Genomic DNA, 21,124 nt, shown 5'->3' on the forward strand with positions numbered 1-21,124 from the left:
AAATCAAAAAAGGGCCTAAGGAACAAATATGGAAATGTATGGTGTGTTCAAGGAATAGTAAGCAGATCAGCCCAGCTGGATGGAGCAGGGAGGTCTTACAGGGGAGCAGAGAGGTCTTACAAGAGAGCAGCGAGTACTGGAATTTACAATTTGTGGCCAAACTGGGGGGGAAATCATGAATGTCCTGCAAAGAAATATGGTAGATCATGGTAGCTATAGTTTTAGTTTCCACTAAAGTCTGTGTGTTTTCTCATGACCCCTTTTTTCTGTTTCTTTGGAGTAGTCCTTTCTCACCTCACATGGTCCTGGTGGGTCTGTGAAAACCGGGTCAGTCACCCTCCCCACTTCCAGAGGGTTGGGCATAACTAATGGCAGTTACTGTTCCGACATGAAGCCTTCAGCCAAGCAGGAGCACTCAGAATCGTCAAGGGATCTGTGTGTAGACATGGGAGAGGGAGGTGCCTTCCTCATTGGGGTTCCTGAGCCGGAGGATGTGGGTGTGGGGCAGTCATGATGGTATTGCCCAGCTTGTGGTGAGAGCTGGCATGCAGGATGACACGTTGCTGAGGCAGGCAGTGTGCAAAGCTGGAGGGACAGACAGTTCTGATCATTGTCGGAGCTCCCACTTCCACTCATGCCAGAATCAATGCTCCTCTCCTGGGCTTGTCAGTTACGGGTAAACCAACACATTCTCTCTGTTTCAGTTAGAGATTGGGTTCTGACACTTTCATCTGAAAGCAGCTTGCCTGATATGAGAGGCTTGGATTTCATCCCATAGATTGAAGCTTCCCAAAGTGGTTTCCTTTGATCGCTGGTCCTCCTTCAAAAAAGGAGTTTTATGCTAAAACTAGTTTAGGAATACTGCCTTCCATTGCCCCTTTTTGGATGGTTTGTACTAAGAAGTCCTCCCATGAAGGAACTTTGTGCTGAGCCATCCGTTCATCTCATCCCTCCATCTCATCCCTCCACAACCACTGTGCATCGTCCCCACCCTGTTCTGTGCCCTGGAGGCTGCCATGATGCTCTCTATCCATGGGTCCTCCTTCCTTTGGGTCTCAAGTGGCCCAAAGGCAGGGGCGTTTCGCCATCGAGTGGCAATGGGAGGTCAGAGGGAGGGAGGAGAATGAGGCGGGCATGTTATTTTCCAGCCCTGCCCTGTCCAGTCATCGTGGGCTGCCTGTGCCCCTCAAGTCAAGCACACAGGTCCTGTTGGGCATCTCTCTGAGGTAATCTTTCTCTCCCGCATCCCTCAGCCATTTGGGTGGTTAAAAGCTCCTGGCTGGTACCAGTCCAATGCCACTGTACTCTCCTTTGTGGTTTCTTCAAACCCTGCACAGTCATTTACTAAACTGTCCTAAAATTACTCACTTTGAGTACGCCATCTGAGTCGCACCAGGACTTGAATTAAATTGTATCATTGATTAATCTATTATTTCCTGCACTTATTAAGCCTGTAACCTTTTTCTTTTTAATTGAGGAACACCCTACAATGTCCTACAGACCAAAAGTTTTGACTACCTACTTTGGTGAATGCCTTCCTAGGACAGCAGCTTAGGAACAGGATTCTGGAAAGATGGAGGCAGCCAGGCAGCTTTTCCACTCTTAAACCTGGAGCATTTCCCCATGAGGACCTGGTGCTTCCACCCAATGACCACATCCAATGGCTTTCAGTTAGGCCTGGAGTTTTACTCCCTTTGTGTACAGCACATTCTTTCCCTGGAAACCCCTCTCCCTGCTCTTCTCCTATCCAAAGCCCACCCTTTGAAAAGTCCAGGCCACGTCACTATTCACCTCGAACATCGCACAAAGCACTGGGGCTCACCTTGGCCTCTGTCACTCATGTGGCCGCTGTGGTTCACCTTAATGCATGGTCACCCACATCCATGTGGCTTAGTCATGTTTCAAGCCTTTGCCTTGATAGTTCACTTTTCTCAAGTTTGATTTCTGTCTATAGAGCTAGACTGTGAGCTCCTTGATGGCAGGGACAACATCCCCACTTCTTTACGTATCTCATAACTTCTAACAAATGTAGCTGTCTTGCACACGCAGAACACCCCTTCTTTGTCTCTGTATGATACTTGGTTCAAACCCCATCACAGTGTGGGCCATTCTCCGATCATCTCAGCTGAATGTATTATCTCAGGCTTCTAAAGAACTAGCACTGATTACCCCGTGAAGCAAACATTCATGCCCTCTGACATATAGTGTCATCTGGAACTGTTGCTTAGTCTGTTAGTTAACTTTGTGCACTTTGATCTCGAAGCCTTAACAAGTTTATACGCATTATTATGGATTGAATTGTGTACCCCCTCACTCTCCTCTCCCCCAAAACCTTCATATGTTGAAGTCCTAATGCCCAGTACCTCAGAATGTGATCTTATTTGGAAATAACATCATTGCAGATGAAATTAGTTAAGATGACATCATACTGGAGCAGGGTAGGTCCCTAATCCAATATGACTAGTATCATAAAAATGAGAACCTGGGCACAGACATGCACACAGAAGGAACCCCATGTAAAGATTGGAGTTATGCTGCCACAAGCCGAGAAACATCAAAGATTACCAGAAAACCACCAGAAGAAAGGAGAGGAGCATTCAACAGATTCTCCTTCATGGCCTCAGAATGACCCAACCCTGCCAACACCTTAATCTTGGCTTCCAGGACTGAGAGATAATCACTTGCTGTTGTAAAAGCCATTCCGTTTGAGGTACATTATTACAGCAGTCCTCCCAAATGCATACAAGCACCTTAAGGACAAGGACCATATCTTGGATCCCCAAAGAGTAGGATTCCAATTGCAGATGCATCATTGGTTTCTTAACGTCTCTTCTGGCAAGTTAATTCACTTCTTTCGGCCTCAACTTTCCTTTCTGTAATGTGGAGATAATAATATCTACTTCAGAAAGTTGTTTTAAGGATTAAAGGCAATGCATTAAAATGCCAGGCACAGTGCTTGACACCGTTAAAATGTGCAATAAATGCTAAGTCTTGTAAATATAATCCTCTTATTTCACAAATGAGGAAATAGGATCTAGACATGCAAAGTGCCTGTCTAAGCCCACACAGTTAAGTAGCAACAAGCTTGTCAAAAAAAACCCTCCAAATAGATTCATTTCAATTCCTATCTATATTATGTCTTATCTTTTATTGCTAAAGAGAACAATTAGTGTGGTGACATTAATTTGATGGCATTTTGTGTGTGATGTTTGCTTACTGCTGTGGGAGATGAGATGCTGGACCCTGAGTTTGAGATGTTGGACTTTTGTGGTTTCTTCCTTATCCACAGGTAACTGAGATAAGTCATATCTTAAAGCAAACCATCCCTTCTTTTTTGTACAAAATTACATTTATTTGCTTAAGAATGGTGTGAATCGTCTGGGCGCGGTGGCTCACGCCTGTAATCCCAGCACTTTGGGAGGCCAAGGCAGGTGGATCACGAGGTCAGGAGATCGAGACCATCCTGGCCAACATGGTGAAACCCCGTCTCTACTAAAAAATACAAAATATTTGCCAGGCACGGTGGCGTGCGCCTGTAGTCCCAGCTACGTGGGAGGCTGAGGCATGGGATTCACTTGAACCCGGGAGGTGGTGATTGCAGTGAGCCGAGATCGTGTCACTGCACTCCAGCCTGGTGACAGAGGGAGACTCTGTCTCAAAAAAAAAAAAAAAAAAAAAAAGAATGGTGTGATTCATATAACTTATTTGTATAAGGGATTACAAATAAGAGCAGTAATTATCGAACAAAATTTGTAGGAATAGGCTTATAGAACTCCACTGCTTTGTATGCACAGACACCCTCTGTATAACTGTTATCAGATGATGCTTGGATTAATTTAACATCCATATTCCTCTCAACTGCAGGGTCTTCACCTCTGTACATTTCCTAATAACCTGTATTCTGGCCTCAACTTATTTCTCTCTCATTTTGAACTAACTGAAGGTGAAGGCTGCTGCAAAATGATTGTTTTTTTCACAAGTTAATCAGATGAAATATGAACCTGCCATTCCTGCCCCATAATTACACCTATTCTGGTGATGTTAGGTCAAAATTGATGCTACTACACCACAATTTTTCTATATAGTTGGTAATCAATGATCATATTTTTTAATGCATCACCATGCTACTTATCAAACGTTCTGTCTCTCAACATATTGAGAAGTCAATCATGATCTGAACAGGTGGATCCCAGCAAGATGACTTCTACCCTACAAAGAGGTTGAGAATCCTGTTTCAAATGCTGGATGGATCCCTGTGAATCTGTCACTTTAAGAAGGGAGACTGCCCAGTGAAAGCAGTGGAAAGAAAAAGAGCGTTAAAAGGTGAGTGGATTGGGAGATCTCATCAGATTTTCCCGTTCTCTTCTGTCATGCTACGACAACTTGCATCAGTGAAATTTCTTTTTTAGAAACTGCAAAGGATATTGAAATATTGAAAGGATATTGAAACTTGGGAGCCCTTATTTATGGGATAAAGCTGTCAGGAAATTAAACTAGAATCAACATTTGACAGGTGAATGTTTATTTTTATCCTTGAGACCCTAATCTCTCTTTCCCACCAAGCTTTGCTTATATATCAGATCTATACACTATTTTGAAGCAGAAAAAACAAGAAAGGAATCTTGAAAGAAAGAAAGAAGAAAAGAAAAGAAAAAAAGACTTCTCAAGCTCAGAATCAGCCCTTGCTATTAACATCTCCTTCAAGGATCATTAGAGGCTCCCAAGGGCCAATGGGACTGGGTGGAAGGTAATTCTGTGCGCTCTTTCATCAGCTGGCAATTTCTAAAGCACCTGCCTATTTTTCCAGGCTTCAATAGTGGTCACATCAGCCAATCCTTTCTTGTTTTCCATAATCCCATGACAAAGACCATTGTTGACAAAGGCAAAAAACATACTGTGCCTTGCCTCCTGGGTGTTTTCTGTTTTCCATCTCAAAATGGGTATTGATGGACTGATCCTCTGTGTCCCAATATTAGGTGTCAGGGATGGGGGCAGGGGTCCCAGAGGGGAAAAAAGGGAGGGTCTTTTAGCTGCGTAAAACCTTCATTCTTCTCCAGCAGAAGTTCCAGGCTTGACTTCCATCAACTTTAGGGGTCTGCATGGGGCTTAGGGGATTCCTGAACCTCTTGACATCATATTCAAAACTGTGCAAATATGTATAGGTGCTCCTAAGAACATGGTTTCTGTTCATATCTTGTTTTTTTGTTTTTGTTTTTGTTTTTTATTGTTTTTTGTTTTGTTTTTGTTTTTTTGAGACAGAGTCTCGCTCTGTCGCTCAGGCTGAGAGCAGTGGCACCATCTCAGTCCACTGCAGGCTCCGCCTCCTGGGTTCAAGTGATTCGTTTGCTTCAGCCCCCTCAGTAGCTGGGATTACAGGTGTCCACCACCATGCCCAGCTAATTTTTATATTTTCAGTAGAGACGTGGTTTCACCATATTGGCCAGGCTGGTCATGAACTCCTGGCTTCAAACGATTGGCCTGCCTCGACCTCCCAAAGTGATGGGATTACAGGCATGACCCACTGCACCTGGCCCACACATCTTGTTTTCTTGACTATGGTTCCACCTCACTTCCTCGATAGTTCAGTCCTCCAGCTCTCATCTCTGGCTTCACTTCTTAGATTTAATTTCTACTTCCTGTCTTGGGTTGGGCTGATTTCAGGTGCTTTAGGTAAAGTCTTGCCTAGTCCAGCCAAGCCCTATAATCTTGGCAACCAGACATAAGCGTTACTGGCTGCCTTCTTTTCCCCAAACAGTCCAGGTCCAGACATTCAGAGTCCAGCTGTAAGACAGATGGGTTTGAACTAATGAAGATGTAATGCCATCTCACTATTCTTATGGGCTAAGCAATCTGCTCTTGGGAGCATAGTCGTGGGAGTGGAACCTGATGAGTTCAGCAGGGTTCAACATGAACAGAACTATCTTTCTAAAGGAGCATATATTGGCTCAAGCCCATAGGAATCCATCCAGATGAATAAATGAACAATTCAGAATTTAATTTCAAAAGATTAGAGTAGGAAGGTGCTTAACAATTTTTTTTTAAATTTTTTGAGACAGGGTCTCACTGTGTTGTCCTGGCTGGTCTTGAACTCCAGGGCCCAAGTGATTCTCCTGCCTTGGCCTCCCAAAGTGTTGGGATTACAGACATGAGCCACCGCACCCTGCCAGAAGGGGCTTTAGATATAACCACATTCTGCCTTATCAAAGTGAGCAATTCTTTGTTTGCCTCTCAAACTTTAATGTGCATATAAATCACTGGAGGATTCATATCCACACTTAAATAACTTCTGCCTTTTTGTTTACTGGGAAGGAAACTGAGGCATATCGGCTTCAGACTCATAAGTTCCTCCCTGCCCAGTGCATTTTTCCAAACACTGCCCTGCCACACAATAGTTCAGTTAAAATGGAAAGAATAAATGTGTCATTTCGTTTTAAAAATTGTCAGAAGGGTCTATGTCTCAAACATGGCCCTTAAAAAAAATTTGCTGGGTGCAGTGGCTCACACTTGTAATCCTAGCACTTTGGGAGGCCAAGGCAGTTGAATTAACTGAGCTCAGGAGTTTGAGACCATCCTGGGCAACATGGTAAAACCCTGTGTCTACTAAAATACAAAAAATTTGCCAGGCGTGGTGGCGCATGCCTGTAATCCCAGATACTTGGGAGGCTGAGGCATAGGAATTGCTTTAACCTGGGAGGTAGAGGTTGCAGTGAGCCAGGATCATGCCACTGCACTCCAGCCTGGGCAACAGAGCGAGACTCCATCTCAAAAAAATAAAAAATAAATATATATATATATTTCATATATATATATGAAAGTCGGGGTGGCTCATGCCTATAATACCAGCACTTTGGGAGGCTGAGGTGGGCAGATTGCTTGAGCCTGGGAGGTCAAGGCTGCAGTGAGCAGAGATCGCGCCACTGCACTCCAGCCTGGGAGACAGAGCCAGACCCTATCTCTAAAAAAAAAGGTCTTGCCCAGGCTGCAGTGCAGTGATGCAATCATAGCTCACTGCAACTTTCAATTTCTGGGCTATAGCATTCCTCCTGCCTTAGTCTCTCCAGTAGCTGCAACTACAGGCATTGCACCATGCCTGGCTAACTTTTATATTTTTGTAGAGACAAGGTCTCACTGTGTTGCCCAGACTGTTCTTGAACCCCTGGTGTCAAGTGATCCTCCTGCCCCAGCCTCCCAAAGTTCTAGGATTACAGGCATGAGCCACCGTGCTCAGCCTTGAACATATTCCTATGTGATATATCAAAGGCCTAGACACTGATATATTTCCTCAAGGATTCCAGAGGGAATAGCAAGGCCAAGAAGAAAAATGGATTTGAGAAGAGGTGAAGCAGGCAAGATATATCTGTAGAATGCCAATTATATCAGTCACTAGGCAAGTAAGACGGTGACACATCTACATAGGGATCCCGAAAAAATGAAGTCCAAATTCACATCAGGGAGGGTATCTATAGTTTAGACCCCTGCTACTCAAATTGTGGCCCATGACCACGAGCATCAGAATACTCGGGAACTCAGTAGAAACGGAGCTTCCCAGTCGGTCACAGACCTACTGAATGAGAATCTGTACTCCAACAAGATCCTCCAGTGACTTAGATGCACTCTAAAGTTTAAGAGACAAAGAATTGCCTACACTGGCTTTTTTTCCCTGTCTAGTTTAAATTACTTTGAAAGTTAGATAACAGAAATGGAAAACTAGGACAAATGAAATTTGCGTGGGTGCATGGAGGGGGGTGTGTAAGAAAGACCACTAGAGGGAATTAAAGCAGGATCACAGCAAGAGTTTTACTTCTTGAGTCGAGTATATATCTTAAACAGCTCTTTTCCTCTGAGCTTTAATTAATTGTTTTGCATTAGTACACTGCATTGTGAAGGACCTGTGTTTGCAATTAGATGGCTCTCACAGATGGGGCAGGGTGATGAGGCGCTTCTGCCCAAGAGGCGGGATAGTTACCTGTGCCCAAGAGTATATTTCTCACATACAAGAGCTCCTCTTTTTTTTTCTTATTTTTAAAGAGCACAGTATACCTTCCTTCCTGATGAAATTCCTGGCTAACAGTTCAAATTTTTTTAAAAAAATTATTTTAATAAATAAATATAAAAATGGGATATTGAACAAATAAATAAAAGTTGGATGTTAGCTGCCATCATCCAGACTGTATTTTACATGAGTAATTCACACATTTCCAGATTCTGAGGGAGAGGACACAAGAGTTCCTGGATGTCCATGGGTGTCCATCTGTAAACCCGAGCAGTTTAAAGCTTCTAAATCCCAATTAGGCTGCTCGAACCAACTGAGATGCCACAAATGCAACCTAGTGGCTTTTCCCATGGGAAGTCAGAGAAGTGGAAAATATTTCAAGCAATTTGGGCATGCTTGCATAACCCTTTTGTGGAAATTCCTGCACTAACAATTTGCAATTAAAGTGAAAGTGAGTAAAAATAGAATGACCTCTCATTTCCACAATGACTGTATTTTGTAGACTCTGGGGTATGAATTTGCCTTATATCTGACCCACACATAATGACGAAGAAACTAAAAATAATCAGCCTTCTGTATGCCTAGCAGTGCAGAGTGTCTATCAGGCAGCAGGTTGTAGCATTAATGACAGTTTTTAGCTAAGACAGAAGACATGGTTGCATAAAACATAAGCAAATCAACAGCCAAGTGAAGACAGAAAAACATACTCTCAGTCCAAATCATAATTGTAAATTCATATTATCTGTAGCAAATGTGGTCTCCCAGGCAGCCTGGTGCCTAAAATGCCCATGCTTTTGGGTCCCTCCCCAATTTAGCATTAACTGCTGATGTCTGGGATTAGTAATTAATTTTTTATCAACCTAATGAAAGCTTCATTAGAAAAGTCACTCTGCAAGAAGGAAAAAAGTCATATAGTGTACTATACAACAAAATGTGTGTATTTCTGCCTTTAATGCTGTGAGTTATCTATGCCATTTCCTCCTCTTAGCTTGGATAAATAAAAGTTCAATGCTAACTGGAAAAAGTTTTGAGACTCACTCTGGTAATGTCATTATGCCATAATTCTTTCAAATATTTCTGAGATGCCATCAGATAATTATAGGTTTCCCTCAAGATTTTTATAAACTCTATGATTATTGTATAGAGTGTTTATGTCATTTGATGACTAAAAATATCCACGAGAAGAAATTTTCTGTGATTGAATCACCTACATATGCTAAACAATTCAAGCAGAACTGGGTTATTTGGCAGAGGAGAGAGCCTGTGAATGAAAATGATCGGTTAATGAACTGAAATTGCAAGCTAAACAGAGGCCACATACCACTCAGCCTGGGTCCAAGGGACTTTCAGCAAGGGGTGAGCATGAAAGGACAAATTGGAGCCCAATTGTGAGGGGCATGGAATGCCTTACTGATGATTTTGGCAAAAAAACACTTCCCACAGACATTCAGGCAAGGTGACAATGTGAGTTCTCCATTTTAAAAGGATATCTCTGGCCCCAGCAGACAGAAGGGAGACCAGTTTGACTGAGTTTGAACCAAGCATTGTGAAATGATGGGAAACAAGTAAAAATAGAGACAGATGGAATGGGATTGGGGCAATAGGTAAAGAGCAGGTCAGGGGTAAGTGAAGTTTCTGCTTTGAGCGTGGGTGGGTGGGTGGTGGTTCCATTCACTAAGTCAGAGCCATTCACTGAGTCAGAGAACTCAAGAGAAAGGAAGGAATGAGATGCTGTTGGAGGTACGGTTTGAAGGCTCTCTGGACACGTGTGACAGACCACTAGAAACATGAGCATGGAGTTAGGAAGGGCCTAGACCAGTGATTTGGAAGTTACCAGCATATAGACATGGCTGGAGTTTGTTGAAGTGCATGAAATTGCTCATGCAAGAAAGTATAAAAAGACAGAGGGAGTGGGCATGAGGACAGGCAGAGCAAGAAGGGAGTTAGACCGAAATCAGTCACAGCAATGGGAGAGATTTTAAAAGCCAGTCTGCAGACTGACATGATACAGAGAGGTACAAACCAGGCTGAGCAATTCAGAGAATGAACTCTGGCCTTTGAGAGAGCAAGTTAGGTTCTAAGGAACAAGTCATGATCTATGGCCAAGATTTGAGACATTATGTGTCGTGAAGCTGAGGGTGGGGTGGTCCACTTACTTAGACAAAACAGAAACTGTGCAAATAGACCCAGCTGATTGAGTCGAGGTGCGTGAAATGGAGAGGTACAAAGTGAAGAGATTGCTGACTTAAGCATGGTCACACACACCAGCCATATTGCCGGGGGGAGATGTTCACGCCACGGTGCAGCTTCAGCTCTGGAAACAGTTGACTGGTGGAGAGGTGGGATAGAGGCTATGCTGGTGGGGAGTGCGGGAGTCAGTTTTCTGTAGTCCAGAGAACTTAGCTCTAACAAGAGCTGCCATTTCTTAGAGGCTTTTTTTTGGTGGGGGGGATGCTTCACCTTCATTATCTTGTTTGAGCTTCAGAACATCTTTGCAAGGTATAATTTAAAAATGAGGAAAGTGAGGCTCAGAGAGCCAAGGAACTGCCCAAATCCAACTGAGAGGGCAGAATTTGAACCCACATTTGTGGAACCTCAAAGCCCTGATTCTTTCCTCTGTAACATTCTGCCTTGGGTCAGAGACGTCTGTCCTCAGGTAGCAGGTTCATCTGGTCTAGGAAGAAAGTCAAGCCTGAGACAAACAAGCACAGGGCTCCTGAGCTCCCAGCCACCAGCCCAGGAGCAGGAAAGGGTTGGAGTTCTGAGGGAGATTGTGATGTGAAGAAGGGGACTGGTCAGAACCAAGGAGCAAGAGCCCGGCCTCCAGGACTTTAACAAATTGAGAAATGTTGAGGCAAGGGCAGCAGCTGTCTCCCAGCAACTTGGGGCCCCAGGTCTGACCAAGAGCAATGATGGGCAGGGGAGCAAGTTGGGTGTGGCCATGAAAAGGTCGTGTGTTTTATTTAGGGAATATAGGAATTAAGTGTATTAGTCTGTTCTCGTGCTGCTAATAAAGACATACCCAAACTGGGTAATTTAAAAAGGAAAGAGGTTTAATAGACTCACAGTTCCACCTGGCCAGGGAGACCTCACAATCATGGTGGAAGGCAAGGAGGAGCAAAGTCACATCTTACATGGCAGCAGGCAAGAAAGAGCGTATGTAGGGAAGCTCCCCTTTATAAAACCATCAGGCCTTGTGAAACTTAATCACTGTCACAAGAACAGCATGGGAATGGCCTGCCCCATGATTCAATTACCTCCTGCCAGGTCCCTCCCATGACATGTGGGAATTATGTGAGCTACAATTCAAGATGAGATTTGGGTGAGAACACAGCCAAATCATATCGTTAAGCATGTATATAAGTCAGAGACATGCCAGTGAGAAGAGAGAGGAAAGAGGGGAGAAGAGTCATAAATCAAGGATCAAGATCCCAGGGAGGGGGATTAGCTCTGGAAAGAATGAAGGGTGAAGCTTCCTCTGAGACAGAAAGGGGGTCAGGATGGTAAAAAGAGCATTCATTTTGACAAAGGTTGGGAAGGAAGTTGAAAAAGTTTAGACCAAACAGCCTCTTTTTTTTTTTTAATTGAAAGAGGCTATATTATTTCTGTAGGGTTGGTGATGAGAAAATAATTTAAAATGCAAACCAGAGCATCAAGGAATGCAAAAGCAAATTCAGTGGTAAGAGAACACCACATCCAGTACCCAGCAAGGTGGGAATGCAGCCACTGGGTCAAAGAGGATCAGGTAGATTAATTCCAGTATCTCCCTGCTTTTCACAATGACTTAGGAGGAACGCAGGGAGGTAGAGCATGTAAAAGAGAGATAACGTGTGGGGAAATATGTTGTAAATACTAAAGTATTATGCAAATCAGTTGCATCTGAATTACTTTTTCGGTGTTAAGGATGATGAAACAGATTCGGAGCAGTTAAGGTCACTGAGGCACCACCTGGACTTGAACTCACATCCTCTAGCCCCAGCCCTGCTGCTCCTGCGGCCCGCTTCTGCACAGCGCAGCACTGAGTAAATGAGATTGGAAATGGAAGTGGTAAGGAGGAAAACAAAACCTTCTGCCTTTAAATTCTTGTTCTGGGCTGGGTGCGGTGGCTCACACCTGTAATCCCAGGACTTTGCGAGGCTGAGGCAGGCAGATCACAAGGTCAGGAGATCAAGACCATCCTGGCCAACATGGTGAAACCCCATCTCTACTAAAATACAAAAAAATAGCCAGGCATGGTGGTGCTTGCCTGTAATCCCAGCTACTCGAGAGGCTGAGGCAGGAGAATCGCTTGAACCTGTAAAGCAGAGGTTGCAGTGAGCTGAGATCACGCCACTGCACTCCAGCCTGGCGACAGAGCTAGGCTCCATCTCAAAAAACAAAAAATAAAATAAAAATAAATAAATAAAAAATTCTTGTTCTGAGACACAGAGAAACAAAATCTGTTTCCGTTTTCTTTTTCTTTTCTTTTTTTTTTTTTTGAGACAGGGTCACAATCTATCATCCAGGCTGGAGTGCAGTGGTGCCATGTTGGCTCACTGCAACCTCCGCCTCCTGGGTTCAAGCAATTCTCCTGCCTCAACCTCCTGAGTAGCTGGCATTACAGGTGCCCGCCACCACACCTGGGTAATTTTTGTATTTTTAGGAGAGACAGACAGTCACCATGTTGGCCAGGTTAGTCTGGAACTCCTGTCCTCAAGTGATCCACCCGCCTCACCCTCCCAAAGTGCTGCGATTACAGGTGTGAGCCACCGCATCCGGCCAAAATCTTATCTATTTTCTACCCTTATGTGGCAATACTTGAAATGTTCCCTTTCTGGTGTAGTGCCCAACAGTCTGGACAACAAGTGCTCTATTACAATTGGGTGAAATTAAAAGGATCAAAGAAGACAGTGAAAAAAAGGGGGAGGATTGGATTCAGAAGCAATATCATCACAGGATCTTCAAATATTAAAATTTAAAAATTTGGAGAAAGCGCCAACTCGGAAATACTCCATGGAACCTGGAAAGTTTTGCTTGCATAAGAGATGGCTCAGAGAGGGCATCCATGTTGTCCATAGATTTGAAGAAGGTTTGTATTTGTCTATATAACCTAAGGAGATAGGAGCAAGTTAGGTAAGTAATAGTAACTTGAGTTCAAGATTGAGTTCAAATATTGAACTCAATAATTTAATATGAATAAAATGATTCAAAAATGAGATACGTTTTTGAGTAGTGAGTTCCCTGTCACTGAAAGATTTCAAGTACAAGCTGGACAACAGCTTGGCAGGATTGTTGTAGCATATATAAAGGGTCATTTATCTGGGGCAGGTTCTCCCAATTTGTGAATAAAAGATCTTCAGGGATGGGGTGGTGAGCAGTAGAGCTATTAGAAGGGGTTTGTGAATTCATGTGCACAAGTGGTGTTGCTTTAGAGGGAATGAAATATGTGTCTGGCAAGTGTGTATACTGTTCCTTTTGAAATTATGTAATGCCATTATGATTAATAAAGTACAAATTAATTATGGATGTCACTGAATTTATAAAAGTCTTTTCCCATTTTGCATTTTCTCGAAGCTCAGATATTAAAAATGCAACTACTATCATGGGGAAGACTTGCAGCCTTTGTTCTTTTAAGGTTAAAAGGGATCTTCATGATCAAAAAGGTTAGAAACCATCTCACTAGAGAACTTTTCAAGTCCTTTTCAATGCAAAGATTGTGATTTCGTGACTCCTAGGAGATCAGAGGGCCACAGTTGGTTTGGGGGAAAAAAACCCACCCAAGCCCCAGCAGTTGGTGCACATGCAACTCTTGGCATGCTAGCAGAAGAGCACCCATAAAAACACTCTGAAATGCCACAACCAGAACAGAGCCACCAGCTGTAGCTCATCAAAGGAGTATGTTTAGAGATCCATCATTTCCTTGTTCCATAAGCTGACACAACTTTGTTGCTCCAAACAGCAAGGGTATATTTTTGCCACTGTATGTATTTAAGTAGTCATCTAACTTTTGTCGTTTCCAAATATCGTTTGTTTTGTTTTGTTTTTGAGATGGAGTCTCTCTCTGTCACCCAGGCTGGAGTGCAGTGGTGTGATCTCGGCTCACTGCAACCTCTGGCTCCCGGGTTCAAGTGATTCTCCTGCCTCAACCTCCCAAGTAGCCGGGACTACAAGTGTGCACCGCCATGCCCAGCTAATTTTTTATTTTTAGTAAAGACCGGGGTTTCTGCCATGTTGGCCAGGCTGGTCTTGAACTCCTGGCCTCCAGTGATCCGCCCACCTCAGCCTCCCAATGTGAGGGGATTACAGGCGTGAACCACTGAGCCCAGCTCCAAATATCTTGATACTACCCTTTCTAAGTTTTTTTCATCTTTAAATATGTGGGTCACATTCTTTGCAATTCATATTCTTTGCTAATGAAATACTTTTTGTTTAGAAAGAAGTGCTTGGATTTTCACTATCATAAGCATGTATGAAATGGAGACATTTTGTTTTGTCAAAGTAAATCAGGAAAGTTGAGTCCCCTCCCAAAATCTACTCTTTTTTGGTTCACTGTGTGAGACAGTTAAGATGAAATCTTTTTTTGAGACAGGCTCTCACTCTGTCGCCTAGGCTGGAGTGTAGTGGTGCGATCACAGTTCACTGCAACCTCCACCTCTTGAGCTCAGGTGATCCTTCTGCTTCAGTCACCCAAGTAGCTGAGACTACAGGCGTGTGCCATCATGCTTGGTTAATTTTTATGCTTTTTGTAGAAATGGGGTCTCCCTATATTGTCCAGGCTGGTCTCAAACTCCTAGGCTCAAGTGATCCTCCCACCTCAGCTTTGCAAAGTGCTGGGATTACAGGTGTGAGTCACGATGCCTGGCTCTGAAATCTGATTTTTCATTCACAATTTCTTTCCACAGAAATTATAGTTCTCTACTCTCTAAAAGTTTTTTTCTTTTTTTTTTTTGAGACGGAGTTTCACTCTTGTTTCCCAGGCTGGTCTGTAATGGTGCAATCTTGGCTCGCTGCAGGCTCTGCCTCCTGGGTTCAAGCGATTCTCCTGCCTCAGCCTCCAGAGTAGCTGGGATTACAGGCATGTGCCACCACACCTGGCTAATTTTGTATTTTTAGTAGAGATGGGGTTTCTCCATATTGGTCAGGCTGGTCTCGAACTCCCAACCTCAGGTGACCCGCCCACCTCGGCCTCCCAAAGTGCTGGGATTACAGGTGTGAGCCACTGTGCCCAGCCTAAAAGTCTCTAATAGAAGGAACCATGGGGGCTCCTCCAAGAACTGTGGAGCAGGTTCAATTTCTCTTCAGAGCTTCTCCCTTCCTCCTTCCATGCTATTTCCTTGCAATTCAGCCACCGCCCCTACCCCAGACGTTTACCTCAAGCTATTCTGGGGTAGCTTCCCTCATGGTAAGACCTTTATGATCATACTGTGTGGGTGGGCCCAATTCTTATAACGATTGGTAAAGTAGGCACACTTGACCCTTCAACGCAACATGATTTAAAGGGCTCAGACAGGACTCCCTGCTTAAAATTCTTTTTTTCATGCAGGTGTCCCAAGACCTGAACTCTTTCCATTCAGAGTTATATCTCTGAATTCTTTCCCCATCTTCTTTAAAATATACATACTTCTGGAAGAATAACTCATTAAAATAGGTCTCCAAAAGATGCTGTTATAGGTCAGGTGCAGTGGCTCATGCCTGTAATCCCAGAACTTTGGGAGGCCAAGGTGGGAGGACCACCTGAGCACAGAAGTTCGAGACAAGCCTGGGCAATATAGGGAGACCCCATCTCTACAAAAATACACATTAAAAAAATTTAGCCAGGTATGGTGGCACATGCCTGTAGTCTCAGCTACTCAGCAGGCTGAGGTGGAAGTATCCCTTGAGCCCAGGAGGTCGAGGCACAGTGAGCTGTGGTTGTGCCACTGCACTGCCACCATGGTTACAGAGGAAGAACCTGTCTCAAAAAAAAAAAAAAAAAAAAAGATGCTGTTATAGATTTAAATATGTATTAACAGACTTTCTCCTATTGAAATTACAATTTCATGTGATTATAATCCAGTACTTCCTCTGTGATGTAGGTCCTAGACACAATGAAAAGAAGGCTTGACATGTGGTTAAATATTTTCTATCATGTTTGAGGGTGATGTCTGTGAGTGGCAGGCACCAGGCATGAATTGTGACCTAGAACCCCGGCATCCTTTCTAGCACTGCCTAAAGATCAAGTACACTAAGAAATATATTAATAGGTTAGCCTAACATCATAAAAGCAACCATCCCACTTCACAGTTCTGTAAGAAGATAAGAAATGCAGAACTCCTAGTAAATCTAGAAAACAGAATACTCTTCACACAGACAATTGTATAGGAGTCAAATGAACCCTTCTTTAGAACTAGTCACTCAGAACACTAATGTTTATTAAAAGAATTAAAATTGGCTGGGCGCGGTGGCTCACGCCTGCAATCCTAGCACTTTGGGAGGCTGAGGTGGGTGGGTCACGAGGTCAGGAAATCAAGACCATCCTGGTTAAAATAGTGAAACCCCGTCTCTACTAAAAATACAAAAAATTAGCCAGGCGCAGTGGCACGTGCCTGTAATCCCAGCTACTCGGGAGGCTGAGGCAGGAGAATCGCTTGAACCTGGAAGGCAGAGGTTGCAGCGAGCTGAGATCGTGCCACTGCACTCCAGCCTGGGTGACAGAGTGAGACTCCATCTCAAAAAAAAGAAAGAAAGAAAGAAAGAATTAAAATCTAAGGTAGTTAAAGCCAAGAATCCATGTCAAGTTCAAAATATATCAAATATGCAAAGTTTAATGCTAAGAACTACTGTATGATATCAGAACATCAAAATAAGGAGGAAGTCGAGGAATCAAAGACTGAACAAGTGCTGGAATCTTTGCAACATTCTCTCTGAGTTCCTTAATGAGGTGGTCTTAACTGGTGCTTGCAGAAAGGTGAAATTCTGCTGCATTGAGGCCCCCACAGCATGTGAGCCCACTGGGAATAGTGGCCTGCTGAGATGAGACCAGGGAAGGACCAGGGGCCTAGGAGAGGGAACTCTGTGGTATTGCATAACACTGTATTTTTGGAAGCTCTCCTTGTAAAAGCTCTGAATTGGCTCTAAACACGAGAAAGATAAGCTTCCCTGCTAAATTCTGGAGTCTCAGAAGAGGATTTAGGGAGATGAAACCATCAAGAATGCCTTGATGACCTTTGTTGACGACCATGTGATCTTTTCACTTTAGGACAACTTCACATGTTCTTAGGAGGAAGCTTTGGATAATATTTTTCACTTTCCATAACCAGAAATTTCTAGACCCCCAAGGTTCCTTTCAAGAATGTCATGTATCTCCCCTACTTTTTTTTTTAATTAATAGAGATGAGGTCTCACTATATCACCCAGGCTGGTCTCAAACTCCTGGGCTCAAGCGGTCCTCCCACCTCAGCCTCCCAAAGTGCTGGGATTCCAGGCATGAATCACTGCACCCAGCATCCCATACTTTTTAAAACTACCACAATTTCTGTCAAGAAGAGGTAGTATAAAAAAGAAATAAACAATATTCTGCTTTTCAGTTAAACAGAAGTTTGAGACATAAAAATAATTAGAGGGTTAATCCATGATCTATTTCCAAACTTTTCCCTTGCCTTCCTTAATGGAAGGTTGCAGGGTGGTCCTTTGATAGTTTTGGCCAATGATACATCGGCGGGAGTCTGCTAGGGACTTCTGGGAAACGTCTGGCTCTCCTGGTTAAATGGATGGATAAGGCTGATGCTGTCCTCAACCCCCTTCTTCCTGCCTTAAATGCAAACTTGACATCTAAAACAGAGGTAGCCATTGTGTGATGATGAGAAGAAGGCCTGGAGAATTGCCAAGACAGTGACCAGGACATCACCAACCTGCTGGTTCTAGGTTGTCTATCTCCAGAAATTTTGCTATGTAAGGAAAATAACCCACCATCTGCTAAAACTACGGTGACTTGGATTTCCATTTACAACAATTCAGGATTTTCATAGGCTTCACATGAAGGAAATAGCTTTGTCATTAGTTTTTGCCAACAATATGTAGCATTTAATTAAAAATCAAAATATTTCCTAGCCATTAATATCAGTATAGAAATAGGCTGATATAAAGGCACCTTAAAGCTTTTGGCAGTCACTGAAATCCAACCACAAAAGGAAAACAAAATCATTTCATTTGCTTCTAAATTGTTTGATTTATTGATTTTTTCCCCAAGTATATTTATAATTAATTTAGGGTTTCTAGAGTTTGATATATTGATTCTTGTGCTGTTACTCTTATTGAAACTTCATGCCAACTAGTGGTATGAAAAATTCCTGTAATATAAATACCCTCTGAGTCTAGTGAAACTTTGCTTTCTCTCAGATTGAAGTAATCTTGGAATCTGTTTAATCTACTTAATAATTCCCTGCTCTATTTCATAGAAGCCAAAATGCCTCAGGCCCAAGTAAAACACAAGGTTAAGGCAATTTTCTAATAACTTGAGGCAAAAGATGGAAAATTGGCCTCCTCTAAGGCTATTTCTAGAAGGAAACCCAGCAGGTCTTAGATGCTTGCTTCTTGAAATGTGAGTCCTGAGTCAGTGGCATTGGATAGATTACCTGGGAGCTTGTTTAAAAAACAGAGTCTCGGGCCCCACTCCAGGCCTACAGAGTCAGAATGTGCATTTGGGCACCAGCTGCAGGGAACAGTGTGCACGGCAAAGTGAGAGACGCAATGCCCAGAGTTCCTTAGCCTTGTCTTCATCACCACCATCTGGTAAAGGTGGACGATGGCCCCTCTGCAGCCAGGCAGGAGCCGATTGGCAATGGCTTGGTCCATCCACTGATGAGAACATGTGATGACAAGCGGTGAGGCAGAAAAGAATGGAAAGAAGCCTGTTCTTGGGGCTTGGAGATGGCCTCTCCATCCCAACCCTGTGTTGCTGCTGTTCTATCCACTGGGAGGTGGCCTGATAGAGCAGCATTCTATACGGTGATATTTCTCAAGCTGTGGGCTGCATGTTTTCTCAGGGGCCTGGAGTCTTCTTTTTTTTGTGGGGGGCAGGTAATATTATATTTTAATTTCAGTGATAATCTTAAAAAAGAATTAATATTATTAGAATCACATGGAACCCTGAGTACATCCACACAATACTTGTACTTCAAAGAGGATGCTATATGGGCCAACATTTTGCAGGAGTTTGAAAAGAGGAAAGTGCTGAGAGTTCATTCACTAATCCCATGGTCAAAGTTTTACATTCAAAAGAATCTGCTCCACTGCAGTTGGTGCATATTCCTCCTGTAAGCAGAGCCCGTCATTATCTGTAGCGACTTGCAAAAATTCATTAGCAGCAAGCATAATGGTAAATCTACAATAAAGCATTTTTCTGTTTCTTATTCAAGCAGTGATTAGATTTGCTATCCATGTAATGCACATTTCAATTGCATCGTGATGTTAACTTTATCTTCAAGAATACAAGACTGTTTTACTAAACTACTTCTAAAATTTGACATTCATGGATTTCTTACTGACTGTTTTGCTTATGTATGAAGTGAAATTTTATTGAACTAGAAAACCAGTCTGAAAATGTTAATATTGTCTTGAAAAAGTATTCTTAGGTGAATAGATATTATTATTATTATTATTATTATTATTATTATTTGTTTGTTTGTTTTGAGACAGAGTCTCACACTGTCACCCAGGCTGGAGTACAGTGGCAAGATCTCAGCTCACTGCAACTTCTGCCTCCCAGGTTCAAACAATTCTCCTGTCTCAGCCTCCTGAGTAGCTGGGACTACAGGTGCCTGCCACCACGCCCAACTAATTTTTGTATTTTTAATAGAGTCAGGGTTTCACCTTGTTGATAAGGCTGGTCTTGAACTCCTGACCTCAGGTGATCCACCCGCCCTGGCCTCCCAAAGTGCTGGGATTACAGGCATGAGCCACCGCGCCCAGCCGTATTAGTATTATTGAAGTCACATTAGTACTACTGAAGTCACAAAAAGGAAAACAAATATATGACCCTGTCTTAAAAAAAAAAAAAAAAGCTGAGTTCCTTTGGCATATTTTGTTTTCAATCTGAAATTATGCTGTTCTGACTCACCATTTCCAAGAGTTTACATGGAGGCATTTGGATTGTGTATATCTGCATAGAGGATTCAGCAGGAACATGGTTTTTGTGCTGTATGTTTCTCCAAAACACAAAATGGCCACACAGTTTCAAATTATTACAGCCAGTGTTATAGAAAGACAATTACTACTTCATTAATACACACCCGTCTTTCCTCATCCACCTTGACCTTCCTGGTCAATCAGTTTGCCCATTTATTTTTTCATTGCCTAGAAGTCTCTTTAAGTTAGAACATGAGTAGTTTGTGAGAATAATGTCTACATAGTAGTTTGATGTCCTCATTATCCTAGATGGGGTTCTCTTCACACTAAGGATTAAAAATATGTCATACTCAAGCAATGTCCCCAGTGGTCGTTTCTTCCTTTCATTGCGGGGTGATATGGTCTGGCTCTGTGTCCCCACTCAAATCTCATCTTGTAACTCCCATAATTCCCACGTGTTGTGGGAGGGACCTTGTGGGAGATAATTGAATCAGGTGGTGCGTCTTTCCCGTGCTGTTCTCATGATAGTGAATGGGTCTTACGAGATCTGATGGTTTCAAAAATGGGAGTTTCTCTGCACAAGCTCTCTCTTTGCCTGCTGCCATCCATGTAAGATGTGACTTACTCTTCCTTGCCTTCCACCATGATTGTGAGGCCTCCCCAGCCATGTGGAACAGTAAGTCAAATAAACCTCTTCCTTTTGTAAACTGCCCAGTCTCGGGTATGTCTTTAACAGCAGAGTGAAAACAGACTAATACACAGCGTGACTGGTATCTTGACTTTTCGCAAATTTTGCTACCATGCCTGAGATATCATGCCACACACATTGTCATGAGTTTTTGGTCCTAACCCAAAGCATAAAAACAATTCTGTATTAAGAGTGAGATTTGTGGCACTATTTTATAGATGGACGAACTGAAACTTGACCAGAAATTTAGTCAATGTTCGAGTTCCATATAGAAGAGGTATTTTGCAGACAGGCCACAAAAGAATAAATAACATAACACAAGTTTTACCAACACTACTGAGAATATTGGTGAAAATGAA

General features: G+C 42.9%; 1 long non-coding RNA gene across 1 annotated transcript in view, besides 1 other annotated feature; it reads left to right on the forward strand.

Moving 5' to 3' along the window:
- The window catches only part of LINC00407 (long intergenic non-protein coding RNA 407), a 60,648-nt gene that overhangs the window by 19,344 nt on the left and 20,180 nt on the right, over window positions 1-21,124 (forward strand). The window contains exon 3 of the long non-coding RNA NR_149082.1: window positions 4,183-4,323. This is a non-coding gene — a long non-coding RNA (long intergenic non-protein coding RNA 407). The remainder of the gene's footprint in view (window positions 1-4,182; window positions 4,324-21,124) is intronic.
- Window positions 4,546-5,114: an enhancer, noted in NCBI's record as "NANOG hESC enhancer chr13:45238394-45238962 (GRCh37/hg19 assembly coordinates)". NCBI's record gives its function as "activates a minimal SCP1, AML or CMV promoter by ChIP-STARR-seq in naive H9 embryonic stem cells {active_cell/tissue: H9 hESC(naive)}" and the evidence as "EXISTENCE:reporter gene assay evidence [ECO:0000049][PMID:30033119]".

The sequence above is a fragment of the Homo sapiens genome, chromosome 13 (assembly GCF_000001405.40).
Source record: "Homo sapiens chromosome 13, GRCh38.p14 Primary Assembly".
Taxonomy (NCBI): domain Eukaryota; kingdom Metazoa; phylum Chordata; class Mammalia; order Primates; family Hominidae; genus Homo; species Homo sapiens.